At 45.2% G+C, this 15,971-nt stretch overlaps 1 protein-coding gene across 9 annotated transcripts in view, besides 1 other annotated feature; it reads left to right on the top strand.

The window, feature by feature from the left end:
* The window catches only part of PDE1C (phosphodiesterase 1C), an 811,448-nt gene that overhangs the window by 207,148 nt on the left and 588,329 nt on the right, over positions 1 to 15,971 (top strand). For all 9 annotated transcript variants that reach the window (XR_001744802.1, XR_001744803.1, XR_007060041.1 and 6 more), the window contains exon 2: positions 11,538 to 11,588. Coding sequence is in view for 6 of the 9 variants with exons in the window: in NM_001191058.4 (NP_001177987.2) it covers positions 11,538 to 11,588 (51 nt within the window). In the remaining 3 variants the exon portion in view is untranslated. The remainder of the gene's footprint in view (positions 1 to 11,537; positions 11,589 to 15,971) is intronic.
* Positions 14,737 to 15,936: an enhancer, noted in NCBI's record as "BRD4-independent group 4 enhancer chr7:32244753-32245952 (GRCh37/hg19 assembly coordinates)". NCBI's record gives its function as "activates an origin of replication core promoter dependent on BRD2, P300/CBP, MED14 and CDK7 cofactors, and independent of BRD4, by STARR-seq in HCT116 cells {active_cell/tissue: HCT116}" and the evidence as "EXISTENCE:reporter gene assay evidence [ECO:0000049][PMID:35650434]".

The raw sequence follows: 15,971 nt of genomic DNA, 5'->3' as shown, positions 1-15,971 counted from the left end.
GGAAGGGCCCTCAGGAGGAAAGGGAGCCAGGCCTATTCTGTGAGGGGCAGCATGAAGACCTCTGGAAGGATGGCATCATTACGAAGAAGAGCTTCCTTTCTTTTGGAGAACTGCTTCCTGCCTCCAGAAGGAAGGTGCTCCCATCCCTAGAGACAGTTCAGGCATGAGCTGGAGGCCCACTTGTTTGGGATGTTGTAGGGGATCCATGCATGATATGTGGAATTGGACCAGAGGATTTTGTTTTTGTTTTTGTTTTTTTGAGATGGAGTCTCGCTCTGTCGCCCAGGCTGGAGTGCAGTGGTGCGATCGCGGCTCACTGCAAGCTCCACCTCCTGGGTTCACGCCATTCTCCTGCCTCAGCCTCCCGAGTAGCTGGGACTACAGGCACCTGCCACCATGCCCAGCTATTTTTTTTATATTTTTTTAGTAGAGGCGGGGTTTCACTGTGTTAGCCAGGATGGTCTCGATCTCCTGACCTCGTGATCCGCCCGCCTCGGCCTCCCAAAGTGCTGGGATCACAGGCGTGAGCCACCATGCCCGGCTGGACCAGAGGGTTCTTAATGTGCTTTCTGATGGTGTGAGCTGTAGAGAAAAGAGAAGAAAGGGGCTCACAGACTGGGTTTCAATCCCAGCTTTCCCACTTCTCAGTGTTGATTTGGGAAAGTGACTTAACTTTTCCTAAATTTCACCTTCCTCATCTGAAAAAGGGAATACTACTACTTACCTCCTGGAACAGTGTGAAAATTGAATAAAAATTATGGGCATAAAGTTCCTACTGGTGCCTGGCATGAGGAAGGGGCTTAATAAATTTGAGTGTCCCTCCACCTCTTCTGTATACTTTTCTTTGCCTTGTCCAGGGTGGACTGTAATTAGTTGACAGCTTGAGCAACCAGCTTGATGTTTGTATTAGTCTGTTTTCACACTGCTGATAAAGACATACCCAAGACTGGGTAATTTATTTAAAAAAAAAAAGAGGTTTAAGGGACTCACAGTTCCATGTGGCTGGGGAGGCTACAATCATGGTGGAAGGCAAAAGACATGACTCACATGGTGGCAGATAAGAGAGAATGAGAGCCAAGTGAAAGGGGAAACCCCTTGTAAAATCATCAGATCTCGTGAGACTTATTCACTACCATGAGAACAGTATGGGGAAAACTGTCCCCATGATTCAGTTATCTCCCACTGGGTCCCTCCCACAACACATAGGAATTATGGAAGCTGCAACTCAAGATGAGATTTGGGTAGGGACACAGCCAAACCATATCAATATTGTATTTCTGTCTCAACACTTTTGATTCATGTTAACTGCTAGTGATTGGCTTTGCCTGGTTTGCTCAGCTGGGTTGTTATAGTGAGGCCAGGATTGCAGGGGGCCCCATGCGAGCCAGCAGTCCTGCAGCCTGATGCTTATGGTGGCCACCAGGGTATCAACCAGGAGGGCTGGACTGGGCCACCCAGGACATCACCACAAGGAAGAATTCACATCCAAGTCAGGCGGCAGTGCTTTGGAGCGATTGCTGGCACTGGACTGGTGTCCCAGCACCTGAATTTAGAGCATGTTCAGACACATCTGCTCTTAGATAAAGTCACATCCCTATCTGCAGATGCAACATATTTGTATATGGAAGTAGGGAAGAAGGCAGATAGAAAGATCTGAGTGCTAGCCTTTCATGGCGTTTTACTACTCCCCTCCTCCAATAAAAAAACTTTTCTTGCTATGAAAGGGAAATATTTATGAATAATTGATGCATCTCAGTCTGCTCCCAGGTCCTAGAATGCACCACACCCCTTTCCTCTCCCTGGGCAGACTCCATCATCCTCTCCACCTCTCTAATCTCACCTGTCCTCGTCTTCCAGGAAACCTCTCACTACTAGTCACTCCAGGCCACAAAGGACCCTTTGTCTAGCATTCAACAGAGCTTGGGTCATCTCATGCATGAAAATTATGTTTCCACAATGAGATCTCAAGTTTCCTGAAGTCAGGGCCTGGTAGCTTGGCCTGATGATTTCCACAGAAACACCAAACACCTTGATAAATTCATATGGCAACAAGTTGAATGATATGTACCAGGAAGCTCGGGGCCAGGCCTTTGGGTCTCAGCTGGATTCCTGGCTACCTGAGGATGAGGTTACATCCATTGTCACATCCAGCACAGCTCTGTGAGGAGGGAGCCCAACAGATGGGAGGGAGACTAAACAGATGGCAATTGATTGTTTGATCTTGGTGTAATGGAGGGCCCTGTAGAGTCAACCTGAAATCTGGAAGTTTGGAAAGCGGGATCAGGGAAAGGGAGCAAGGAATTGATTGAAATAAGTAAATTTCAATTTTCATTAACATCTCACTTTGTTGCATAAAGGATAGGAGCATAGAGCAAAACATAAAATACAAATTGTGAAATGAGATAGAGTGTAGATAAATAAGCAAACTTATGAAATTAGGTCCAGGGAAGAAATAGATTGCTTGAGCCTCTACATATGACTCAAATTCTTCCAAACTAAAAGAAAAAGTACAGGATATGTGTTTTTCAAGCTGTCTTCTCAGCTTGGTAAAGGCCTCTTGGATTTTCCCTCTGTCTGTGTGATACCCTGGGCTGCACGAGCCAGGGAGCCATCCTGCCCTCTGGCAGGTGAGCCTTGCCCTCTGTAAGGATTTGCCCATTACTCTAGGAGAGAAGGGTCTGGAAAGTGCACCATCCCTGCCACTTTCAAATTATCAGCCCTGATGCATCATCAACTACAAATTAGTTTTATTTTCTTTTGTGCAAGTGCCTGATTCAGAGTGGATTTGACAGCCAAATTGGCCCGGAAGGCATAATGAGGCAATGCTGAGCATTTCTGAATAAAGAAGTGGGAAAGGAACAGAGTGGGGGTTGTGATGCCTTTTATGGCTCTGGGGCACAAATTTCAACTGGATTGCTGAGATCTGTTCCCGTAAGGAGCAGGCTTCTGACTTGATGCTAAGTGGAGGGGAGACAAGGGACTGGATTTCATGGCAATGAGGCTGGTGGTGTGGTAGTAACATTTGGATGTTGAAAATGTGATGGGTAGCACGAGGTGAAGGGCACTGCCTCTGAAATAAGGTAGTCCCATCTTCTATGTCTGGACCTACCACTGCAAGTTATTTCATCCCAGGCAATTAATGTGCATTTTAACAAGACCACAGCCTTGTGAAAGGCATGGCTAAGTCTGGTTTAGAGGACAGCCTTCTGGAAATGCCCAGTCTGTTTGGATGGCTCCTGGGTGTATGAAGTTATTGTATTATATAGCATTTCTCATTTTAAGCAACTGGGATAATATGTTCTATGTGTTGAATGAAGTCAGTTACCTTTGTGAATTATCCATTTCATGGCCACATTCTTTTATGTTCCATTTAACCTGGCTGGGTTTTCCCATTTACCCATCCTACCTCCTCCCTTCATTTTCCCCCAACCCCAACCATGGCAGGCTTTGGTCATGTGTCACAAACACATCTTGCTAAGCTCAGTCTTGGCATCAGAAGACTTCTCAACACAGCACACGATTCAGCCATCGCCAGAGATATGCATTTATACATTTTAAGCTTGAAACAGATCCCAGGCTTGTCAAGCATCAACATTTATCAAACCACATGGGGGCAAAGGAAGTCAAGCCTTTTGCTTTACTATTGATCCTCACGCAACAATTAAACAGATGGGGCACATCCCTTCTCTGAGAATGCTGGACTCAGAGCTGGAAGGAATGGATGACATTTCTCACTCTACTGCTTTGCCTTGGTCTGTTTTTGGACAAGCTACCTAATCTCTTGGAATGTCACTTTCCTCACCTGTTAAAGAGAATACGATTTGCCTCATAGGGGCTGTTTTTGTGAGTTGTACTGGTTCATACTGAGATGCATTTGATTCTAGATTCTATTTCCTTGTTGCTATTTTCTACCTATGGGAGGCTTAATAGGGTTAGGGAGACACCTTGGGGCTCTTGAATGAATGTGGCAATGAAGCTCCTCCCTTTGTCAGTAGCTTCTCCCTCTACTGGATCCTATTGCTGTGAGTTCTGGCCTCTTTGCCCACCTCAACAAAGAGCCTCTCTCTCCTGACAGTCTCCTGGCCTTATGCCTAGTACCAGGGGCCAGGCGGGTGACCGCCCCCATTGCCTGCAGGCTGGTACCCTCCTCCCACTGGGGCTAGAGGCATAAAGGCTGCAGCCTGGCTCTTCTCTCGGTGCAGCCCTCTCTGGAGCATGGTTCCTACCGGTCTCCCCTCCTTGGAAGGCAAAGAGACAAAGGTGGAAGAGGCATGGACTTTGGCACTAGATACTCCTGGGTTTACATAGGGTTTGGCCATAAAAAACCTGTGTGGCCTTGAAAAAAATTAGCCAGTCTTTCTGCACTCAAGGACAGTCTTATTCAATGTGAAGGCAGGGACCATGACTGGATGTTTGCAGATTTATTTGGTATCTATGATTTATTCAGTGCCTGGTTTTTGAAGATCTGAATGGATATTCAGAGTGTTCAAGGGATGTGATATCCTTGCACCTTCCTTTTTGTGTCTCCTTCCAATATCCTTGGCTCCATCACGTTCTGAATGGTAGATTGCTAGGAGGCTTGTCATTAATTCAGTCCATAAATATTGTATGCCAGGCACTTGGGCACTGGGGAGATAGCAGCTTTTTCATTGGCAGAGAATCTATGCTTGTGTGGAGCTTACATTGTCATGGAAGGAGAAAGGCAATAAACCCACTGAAGTATAGAGCATATGAGAAGGTGATAAGTGCTGTAGCGAGGATTAAACTAGGATAGGGGGATGGGGACTAGAGGAAGGGGGCAGTTGGGACCTGTGGTCTTAATGGGTGGTCATGGAAGGTCCTACCTAGAAGACGATATCTGAGCTAGGATAGTTAATGATGATTTTGCACCAAGTCTCCTTCCCCCCAGCATTCCTTCTTGTTTTCTCTGCTATTGCTTGGGTCTTTGCAAGTTGAAGGTAAGACAAGGTGAGGTCAAACACCTGGTAATTCCAAGCTTCACCTTCTATAGTCACTAGTGAAAGTGCCTGGAACCTCATTCCAATGTTCTCTTCTTTGGGAGTCTGTGTTGCCTGGCATTGCAGCCACCAGCCTTCCCAAAAGAGTTCACTTGGATAAGATGCTTGAGCCAGACCCAGGGCTGTGGCAAAGCAGCAGCCAACCAGTGCACTGGGCAGATTTCCTTGCAGGAAGCCAAGCTCTGCTCTGGGTCTGCTGCTCACTGTGTGTTTGCCCTGGCACCCAGGACTCCAGCTGTGTTTATGCTCACCCAGGTGCCAGGGCTTTCAAAACAGGGGTGGCAGTGTTTTGGGTGCTTGTTCTGGTTACAAAGCAGTGTGCACCTTTCTAGGCCACCACCACAACGGGTTGGCCCACCTTAGCTTCCCCTTTATTCTCCTTTGTCCTTTCTGATGGCCTGTATTGTTTGTGTCGTAGCTGTGACATCAGAGCCCCCTGGGTGGTCTGGGGTTAGGATGCTCATTGCTCCAAGTTATCTTCCTGTCTCACCTGCCTCCCTCCCATTGGTCTCCATGGCAACTACTTACTCTGAGATTTGTTTCTGGCCAATTTTTGGGAGGGAAAACCTACAGCAAACACACCAGGGGAACATGTCCTTTATATTGCTGCTTCTCAGACATTAGTGTACCCAAGTGGCTTCTGGAGCAATTGTTTAAAACAGTGGTTCTCAACCTTTATGGCACCAGGGACCGGTTTCATGGAAGACATTTTTTCTACAAAACGGGTGTTGGGGGGAATGGTTTCAGGATGAAACTGTTCTACCTCAGATGATCATAAGGCACATGCAGCCTAGATCCCTCACATGCACAGTTCAAAATAGGGTTCATGCTCCTATGAGAATCTAATGCCGCCATTGATCTGATAGGGAGTAGAGCTCAGGTGGTGATGCTCGGTCCCCGCTGCACACCTCCTGCTGTGCTGCTTGGTTCCTAACAGGCCATGGGCTGCTCGGTTCTGTGGCCCAGGGGTTGGGGACCCCTGGTTTACAACCTAGGGTCCTGTCCTCACTTGCAGGGATTCTGACCCAGTGGATCTGCCACAGGACCAAGGAACCTGCATCATCATCATCATCATCATCATCAAGTCACTTCCCTAGCTGATCACACTTGGATAAACCCAGATTGACAGGCACAGTTTGCCTCCCTTACTTGCTTGTATGTCCAGGTTGGGTGGAATCCATTGTTGCAACCCTCCTTGAGTCTAGTTCACTGCCCAGCGCCCAGGTGGTGCTCAATCCACATATGCTGAAGGATAGAGGCAATGTGAGGTGAATCCTTTTATAAAGAACCGTTTACAATGCAAAGAGTTGCCCACTAATAGGTCTCCATAGTTAGGTTTGCATCTTAATGGTTGAAGTTTTCTTAAAGCAGAGATATACCTCGCTCGATTCAGGATTTTGACAAAGCAACAGCATCCTGAAAAGAAGAAGTGAATAGGGGTAATTATTTTTGAAGGAATCAAAGCCATGTCCTCCTGCCTTTGGTAAAGATGTACGGAGTTGCACCATTTATTAGTGCTTCTCAACTTCGGCTGCTCACTGGGATCAGGGGCTTAAAAAACACTGATGCTTGAGTCCTACCCCTAGAGGCCCTGTGTAATTGGTCTGGGGTGTGGTCTGGGCATCAATATTTTGTAACATTCCCTAGGTGATTCCAATGTGTGTCCAGGGCTGGAAACCACTGACCTAAAATGTGTGGGATCCCTGGAGAGAGGGGTAAGAGATGCATTTCTTGAGTCTTACAAGGAGCCCTCTTGGACTAGAGATGGCAGGTGCCTTGAATTCTGTGATCCAGGACTACCCTTAAATCAGAATCTAAAACATATTTTATATATATATATACATGTTTTTTACATATATACTTGTGTATAAAATGTATATATGTGTCCGTGTATGTATAAAAATAGTATAAACATTTATACCTGTGTATGTATAAAAAGTTTTTTACATACACACATATACATACACATGTACATATATATACAAACATATCCAAAATAATATGTATATTTTGAAAGAGAGCAATAGCCAATTGTTTTATACCCTCTAATAAAAACATTTTTTCCTGATTATCATAAACTATTGAGTTTATGCAGAAAAGTATTTCAAAAGTTACAGATTTTCTCAAATGCCACCACACAGGAGAAATAACTGTTAATATATCTGGTGACCACACTTCTACTCATCCCTCTGTGCCTATATACACATGTAGCCTAGACACGCAACTGAACGTCAATAGAATCCTTATGCATTCTGAACTAGAATCTGTGTTTTGTGAGCAGTATGGCATAGATAACTTTCCATAAACCTACATAATCATTCTTATAAGATCTCACCACATTTAAGCTCTAATTGCACCTGATAAACGGAACATCTACTGTATTGTGAAAGCTTGCTGTATACTTTTAAACATGCAAGGCAAGCAGCAGTGTTTGAGGGCTCCTGTGCCAGTGGAGAAGCCTGGGTGTGTCCGAACAGGCCTGCAGCGTGCTGTTGGACTGTCACACGCATCTGGGCAGTTGTGCACTGGGGACAGAAGGGCTTGACGAGCCGGGCGACAGCACTTTTTGTAGTGCTAGCATCTGTTGAATTTTAGTTTCAGTCTTTAAGCCCTTTAAGAGGTTCTGTTTTCACCTGCCTTCTAGACCATGCAGAGTGTATAGTCCAACAATAGTCAGCATAGAGTTGCATTCTGAATATCCAGGAGGCAGAGCCACCGAGGGACCATCTCAGTGTTGATCCATGGCTGTCATGTGGGACGGGGGCCTTGTGTTCCAATCGCCCCAGTAATTTGAAGGAAGCCAGTAATATGTATTTCTATTTGAAATCTCTTGGTTTTTAAATGTGGGCTGACAATTGTTTAAAAATTGAAAGCATAGTGAGACCAAACAAAACACACCTGGGGCTTCCTATAGTCATCTGGAAGGCAGTCTGAGATGTCTGGTCTACTAAGCTGTTTGTGGCATTCAGTCTACTTGAGTTCCAAAAATATTGACTGAATGCATAGTCACTGTACAAAAGAATGGAAATTACAATGATAAAAAGTGATGATCCTTGCCTTGGGTGGGGTAGCTTTTATGATCCCCAGACCAGCACCCACCATATCACCTGGGAGCTTGTCAGACATGTAAATTCTTGGGCCTCACACCAGATGCATCAAATTAGAAACTGTATTCTAAGAAACCTGCTCGGTGGTTCTGATGCCTGCTGAAGTTTGAGAACAACAGGCAGGTGTGGGAAGGGGAGTTACGCATATGGGCAAAGATCTGGGGGATGGAGAAGGTGGGGTGTGAGGCGAGGAGGCTTTTCAGAAGTGAATGGCTCCACCTGGATCTTAAAGGATGAGTAAGGAGTTGGCCAGGTGAAGATGAGGGAGGAGTACACCAAGGCTAGCAGGCAGCAGGAGCCAGAGCCAGGCAGGAAGAGTGTGTGAAGGGCGTGTGTGGGATTGTCCATCTAGCGCATGTGACCGAGTGCTGGAGTATGCTCTGGGAAATGAGGTGGGAGAATAAGTTGGTGCAGGTGAGCTGGATTGTGTTCTGTAGGGGCTACAGCATCACGGGAGACCCTCTAGTAGTGGAGTGTGGCATTGGGTATGTTTGTAGGGAAATCACGCTGGTGGCGAGGTTCAAATTCCTTCTGGATAGAGGAAACTCTCCTGGTGTCCCACTGGTCTGGATCCTGATTCTTGCCTTTCCTGGCGTGACTTGGATCTGGGTCAGCAATTCCCATCCTTGGATAGGGTGGTGGGCAGGGAGGGCCCGGCTGAGTGAAGATGTGGCTATTGCTGCGTGTGAAATAGTGACATTGGTGTCTCTGTTCTTTTATTCTTGGAGGAATGTGCACACTCTTGGAGAATGTGCACACTCCAAGCTGAGCATTTAGGTGGTTGCCTGTGTTCTCAGCAATTGCAATGGTCTTTGTAATCCCATTTTAAAATGTCATTTTAAAGTTTCTGCAGCAAAGGTTTTGGTAAAACCCTGGATCTATTTCTTTTTCTTTTTTCTTTCTTTCTTTTTTTTTTTTTTTTTTTTGAGATAGGTTCTCGTTCTGTTGCCCAGGCTGGAGTGCAGTGGTTTGATCACAGCTCACTGCAGCCTCAACCTCCTGGGCTCAAGTGATCCTTCTGCTGCAGCTTCCCGAGTAGCTGGCATTACAGGCATGCTCCACCACACCCGGCTAAGTTGTTAAAACTTTTTTTGTGGAGACAGGGTCTCACTATGTTGCCCAGGCTGGTCTCAAACTCGGGAGCTCAAGTGTTCCTCCTGCCTCAGCCTCCCACAGTGCCGGGATTACAGGTGTGAGCCACTATGCCCCACCCAGCTCTATTTCTTTCTTCAGACATTTGCGGTGTCTAAATGGAAGAAATAAGTTGAACTCAAGGCCATGGAAATTCATGTCTATACCTAACTGGGACTCATTTGTTCTTCCTCCGTCCCTCCCTCCCCTCTCTCTTTTCTTACCCCCCCCTTTTTTTTTATTATAAGATAACTTTGGTTATAGACAACTCTTGAGAGCTTTCCAAGTGCTCATAAGATTTTTTTAATACTTAGCTATGATAACATCCAAATTTTCCTGATGTGAGGATATGCAGTTGTGGTTAAAGACTTCTACTGAGATAGTTGACCATTGTTCTGAAATACTTTGGATGTAGCTCTGAGTGGAGGCAGGAATATGAATGTGAATTATTTATATTCATGTGGTGGTTCTACAAAACATTTTAGAAGACAGCAAGAATAGCCATTGTTCTTAGAACTTCTAGATCTTTTTTTTGAAATGGAAATCTTTTCTTTTAAAATGTATTTGGTGCAGAGTGTAGTAATTATTTAATTTCTTTCTTTTTATTTTTTGAGATAGAGTTTCGCTTTTGTCTCCCAGGCAGGAGTGTAGTGGCACAATCTCGACTCACTGCAACTTCCACCTCCCAGGTTCAATTGATTCTCCTGCCTCAGCCTCCCGAGTAGCTGGGATTACAGGCGCCCACCACCACGCCCGGCTAATTTTTCGTATTTTTAGTAGAGATGGGGTTTCACCATCTTGGGCAGGCTGGTCTCCTGACCTCGTGACCCGACCGCCTCGACCTCCCAAAGTGCCGGACTACAGGCGTGAGCCACCCGCGCCAGGCCCATTTCTTTCTTTTTTTGAAATGCTGCGGTGTGACAGACGATGGGAGCTGGATGAATTATTGCCTCCCCCTGCTGGTCATTTTTATATAACATCTTATATATAGTAATATATAGTAAGAGTGCAGATGATAAAGCAAAGCTAATACCCAGAAAAACAAAAGATACTAAGATGTAATTTATTAATTTTTAAAAATTGCCCAAATTAGTAATAGACAAATTGCCCAAATTAGTAATTGGCCTTATTAGTAATAGAGTGTAGATGGTGAGGCAAAGCTAATGCCAGAAAAACAAAATATACTGAGATGGAATCCATTAATTTTTAAAAAATTGCTCAAATGCAGTAAATTTTAAAATACTTACCTTTGTGAGAGGGTGGAATAAATTTTTCGACTTCTTTCATTCTTTGTAAAACGATATAATAAGTTTAGAAAGTAGTTACTGTATTGGTTTTGTCCTTTTGCTGCAACTTCTCATACATTCATGATGACGTTAGCAATCTCCTTTATTCTGTTGATGCATTGAATGCTTTTTTCTCAGCTAGAATGAACAGGTGTTTCTTGTTGATTGCTTTAGGCATTTATCCAAGTAGATCACAAATACCCATGTCTGTCTGCTATGTATACATACAACAACCAAGGTATAATGTTTATGGGCATGAAACATGGTATTTAAAATGAGTGAAACCTGTGTTTCCCCTTAACAACCAATCTCTTTTACCCAATACAATGGGTTCATAAGTTATAAGGGACATTAAATATGACTCTATCCAATGATAAGTTATATGGAGACTTTTCGTAGGAGGTAGCCTGCCCTGCTGAGAAGCTTTAGGGGTAAGGTTTCTAGGGCAGTTTTCTGAACAATTCTATTAATGAACTTCCCTGTTTGTTAGCATCTAAATTTAATATCTTTCTGAACATAAAGCCAGCTTTTTATTTATCTTCCGAAATTCCTGCCTCAGCTTTGCCCCTATGGATCCTAGGAAACCAGATTCATTTCGATGCTTGGGGTGCATTTGCATGTTGACAGACAGCACTGTTAGAGGACTCTTGGGGCCAAAGGACGTCCACTAGCTTGGAAGCTGGTGTGTGTGCCTCTTACTAAGTGGATGTAAGCCAATTAACTTCTTTAGGCCTACTAAACTGGATGTTGTTGAGATCCTCTCTAGCTTCATCCAAATATTCTAATCAAAATGATTGAGACATTTGACTTCATTTAGGTGTTGAGGGCAGCCTTGGAAATACAGACACGGAGGGAGTAAAGTTGCTTTTATTCACTTACAAAGACTCTTAAATACAGCCCGATGTCAAAGCATCCAGGGGATTGGCTGTATTGGGGCATATTTGGTGGACACATTGCTTTATTTATTTAAATTGCATCCTCTTTTTTTTTTCTAGTTGCAAATGAAGCTGGAGACAAGAATGCCAGACCACTGGCCCGCTTCTCTCGTGAGTAAATCTTGTTTCACTCCTTTCCTGGTCTCCATCAGAAAATGTTCTCCAGAGATCTTTCCCCCATGCGGTATAGCTCTTCAATTCTGTCAGGTGTTAATAAAATAGTAATGCAGGAAATATCATCTGGTTAACATCCCACTTGAGCCCAGGCTGGTGAGCTACTCATTGCTACTGCCTTTTCAATCCTTAGAACTGTGGTTTCCAAATTGTGCTCTAAGCCTTTGCTATTCCAAGTATGGTCCTCAGAGCAGCAGAATCGACATCACCTGGGGGCTTTTTAGAACCATGAAGCCTCAGTCCCCCGACCACCCCTTCAGACCTATTGAGTCAGAATTTGTATTTTAACACATTTACAGGGGATGCCTGTTCACATTAGAGTTTGAGAAGTGCTGTGCTAGGACTATCCTTTCAATCTTTCAATGAATGTTTTATGAAGATAAAGTGAGGAGAGGTACGTGAAATGCTTGTAGCTATGAAGGCATCATCACCATTCAAAGTGGACTTATGGACTAACTCCACTGGCTTTTCCTCAGTTTGGTGACACTTTGAAGCTTAGATGGATTGAATGGGTTTCCTTAGGCATTGGGGATATTCCTAGGGCTGTGGTTAGGCCATGGGGCTTCCCTTGACTCCTTTGTCTCCAGGTCTTGATCCCTATGAGTAGGAGTCTAAAGCCTCTCAATGGTTTCTGTACCAGTGTGATCAGCAAATTATCCCGCAAGTTAATGCACTTCCTGGAACGAAAACCTGGATTCCAAAGAAGGGGGGGGAAAATACTAGAGACGGATGAGGGTGGAGTGGAGACGCTCCCCAAACCCACTATGCACCAGGTGGAGAAATCGTACAACTGTAAATAGAAACGGATTTATCACTGCCTCACTGGCTTTCACTAAAAGTAATTTCACTCACACTATCTGGGCCTCTGTCTTCGCACCTGGAAAATGTTCAAAATTGGACATTGTTACATTAATTTTTTTTTTTTTGCCTTCCTAAAAGTCACCTCATCGTTCCCTCTCTAGTATTGACTACAAAAAGACTTAGTAGCTGACGTGCCATCTGACTTTTTTCCAGGTCAGTCAAAAATGTTGCTGTCTTTTGAAATTGTGGCCAGGGAGGAACTCTATAAATCCCTAGTCACTGCATTCCTCATGCAGGGTTGACTAGGTCTGAGTGTGGACAGTGCCATAGTAAATCTTATTACATAAAGCTGAAAGTATAATTTCTCTATTTACAGGCTTCTTCTAAACTCTGCCTCCCAGCTCTTTTTGGAAGGCTTTGAAACGTTGGGATTGATTTCCTAGAAATGATTTTTATAGAACTGTAATAATGTACGATAATGAAAGAGCATGAAGTGCTCATATTTTAGAAATTGTGTAATAAAACACTCGCTTCTCATGAGCCCCATTCCTCACTGCCCTCCTACCTGGAATCATTATTTGCAAAATAGATATTTCATCCCACAGCTCAACGAGGTTGAAGAATATGCTTTTATCCCATTTTTTTCTTCATCTCCTGAGCAGTTGTCAGGCAAATAAATAAGCATGAATCGTGACCCAACCACGCTGTGAGGGCTGTGCTGGGTGCCCCTTCCCCCATGGGAGTCCCAGAGGCTCACTACAAGACAGACGAAGGTTGGGGGGAGGGCGGTCCTTGCATGAGAGTTGAGGCAATTTGTCCCTTCACAGAGAAAGGAAGGTAACTTCTTGTGTGAACTTCTCAACTGTATGACTGGGTTGAAAGGATGATGTGTCTTCAAAGCTTATTATCTTGAGACAGGTGAGGACATGATGAACACGTATCTGTGTAGGAAAAAGTAATTAGTGGCAAACCAGTTAGGTTGGACTGATACAGGGAAAAAAAAGGAGAACGAAAAAGCTCCTGAGTTAATTGCCATACTCCGGAAAAAGTCAGATGGCACGTGAGCTACTAAGTCCTTTTGTAGTCTAGAGAGGGAAAGATTAGATGACTTTTAGGAAGGCAAAAAAATTATTTTTAATGTAGCAATGTCCGATTGATGCTTACTTCACTTTACCACCTTGAAACTGACCTTCATTGTGTGGTGTGAATGAAGAGTTCAGTTTGGGAAGATTGGGAGGATTCGGATGATAAGTTTTTTTTTTTTTTTTTGAGACTGGAAGATGAAGTACTGCAACATTCTCTAATTTTTGCGTCCAACAAGACAGCCTTGACAGTGTGCGTTGCCCAGTACGGAATCAGGCACGACGGGGATTGGCGGGGGCGGGTGGCCAGAGCCTGTGCTGTGATGGCTGGACCCTCTAGAGGTCAGCAGAGATCTGGGAGTGGGGACTTGGGAAGGGCTGCTTCTGGTGGTGGATGCTGTGGAGTTAGTCCTGTGAGACTCTGGATCTACCAGGCCCCTTCACCACCCCTGCCCCATCATTGCAGGCTCAAGCAGTGGCTTCCAATCAACCTGACTTCAGTTAGAGCATCTGCCTAGCAACTGTGGGCACATACAGTAACATGGGGAAGTCATTCTCCTAGAAGTGAGGGTTAGGGAAGAGGGAAGGGAACTCAAAGGAAGCAGAGAGGATCTCTTCCCCTCACAAATGCTGGGAGAATGACAGTGTCCAGGACAGTGAAGAGTTGAGACTGACCTTGACTTGAGTGCGCTGTGTGAATGCAGGCACACCAGCTTCCAACCAGCAGATGGTTTGAGAATGGCATCTATCACAAGGCCAGCTGTCCTGGGGCGAGAGCCACCGGGTGTGGGCACTGCCATGCTCTGCAGTGGGCAGGGTGAGCTAGAAGAATACCTCATGTGGGTACTGCATGGTGGGCACCTCACATGGGTGCCGCATGGAAAGTACCCCATGTGGGTACCGCATCGTAGCCACAAGGGCAGTGTGGGGAACAGCTGATCTCCCCTGCTCAGGTCCAGGCCTCAACTTGGTGAGGAGCTCCTGGAACCCACTGTGGCTCCTGACATTGGGGACTTCTGGGATGAAGTCAGCTGGCTGTGGGGTCCCTTTCTAGTCCTGCTCTCTGGGATGCTGGTGAAGCTGCCCTCCAGTGCCAGGCCCTAAAAACCCTCCTCTCTAGACATGTCTGTTTTATGCAACTGTCGGTCTCTATTAGACAGTCAGCTCCTTGAGCCCATGGGCCGTGTCTGGTTGACTGCACCTGACCTAGAGAAAAACGCTGATTGAAGACTGCATAAACTGGCCCCTTTCTGCTCCTTTCCCCCTGCTCCTCTGCATCCTAATCAGTGAGCCGTCCCATTATCAGCATACACAATCCCCAAATCCCCCCAGAATATATCCTCAAAGGTCTCCTACATGCTAGTGGGAGAGTCCCCAGCAGCCACCATGTAAGCTCTGGGGGTCAAGCCGGGGTTTGAATTCTGTGTCCAGAATTATGAATTCTGTGCCGCGTTGAGCAGGTAACCTTACCCCTCTAAAAACACATTTTCCACACCTTGATCCTAGAACAGTACTGCGTCTAGAATCGGTTTCTTCTGGTGGGTTCTTGGTCTCGCTGACTTCAAAAATGAAAACATGGACCCACCTGGTGAGTGTTACAGTTCTTACAGATGGTGTGTCCATAGTTTGTTCCTTAAGATTTTCAGATGTGTCCGGAGTTTCTTCATTCTGATGGGTTCACGATCTTAATGACTCCAGGGGTGAAGCTGCAGACCTTGGCAATGACTGTTACAGCTCTTAAAGGTGGCATGTCTGGAGTTGTTTTCCTTGGGGTTGCTTCATGGTCTCGCTGGCTTCAGGAGTGAAACTGCAGAATGAGTGTTACAGCTCATAAAGGTAGTGCAGACCTAAAAAGCCAGCAGCAGGAAAATTCATTGCAAAGGGGGAAGGAACAAAGCTTCTGCAGGGCACAAGCAGACCCAAACGGGTTGGCTGGGGGGTTGGCCTGCTTTTATTCTCTTTTTTGGCTCCACCCACATCCTGCTGATTGGTCCATTTTACAGAGTGCTGATTGGTCCGTTTTACAGAGTGCTGATTGGTCCATTTTACAGAGTGCTGATTGGTCCGTTTTTACAGAGTGCTGATTGGTGCATTTACAAACCTTTAGCCAGACACAGAGCACTGATTGGTGCATTTACAATCCTTTAGCTAGATAGAAAGGTTCTCCAAGTCCTCACCCAACCCAGAAGCCCAGCCAGATTCACCTCAATGCTAGAGCTTATTTCCAAGTTGTTGTGGATGATCACATGCAAGGGTGAATGTTAAAATACTTGAAAACATGTGACGTGGTCACTGAACATCAGAACAGATGCTGGTCATGGACTATGTGAAGGACTAGAGTCCAGGAGACCCCTGACAGGACAGACATGGACCCTTTAATTGCTGGATGAAGCTGGGGCAGCAGAGGTGGATATTGGCCCTGATAACCTGGAATTCA

This window comes from Homo sapiens, chromosome 7 (genome assembly GCF_000001405.40).
Source record: "Homo sapiens chromosome 7, GRCh38.p14 Primary Assembly".
NCBI classification, from domain to species: Eukaryota; Metazoa; Chordata; class Mammalia; order Primates; family Hominidae; genus Homo; species Homo sapiens.
The sequence above is the reverse complement of the archived record's forward strand: the minus strand, read 5'-3'. Positions and strand labels throughout refer to the sequence as shown.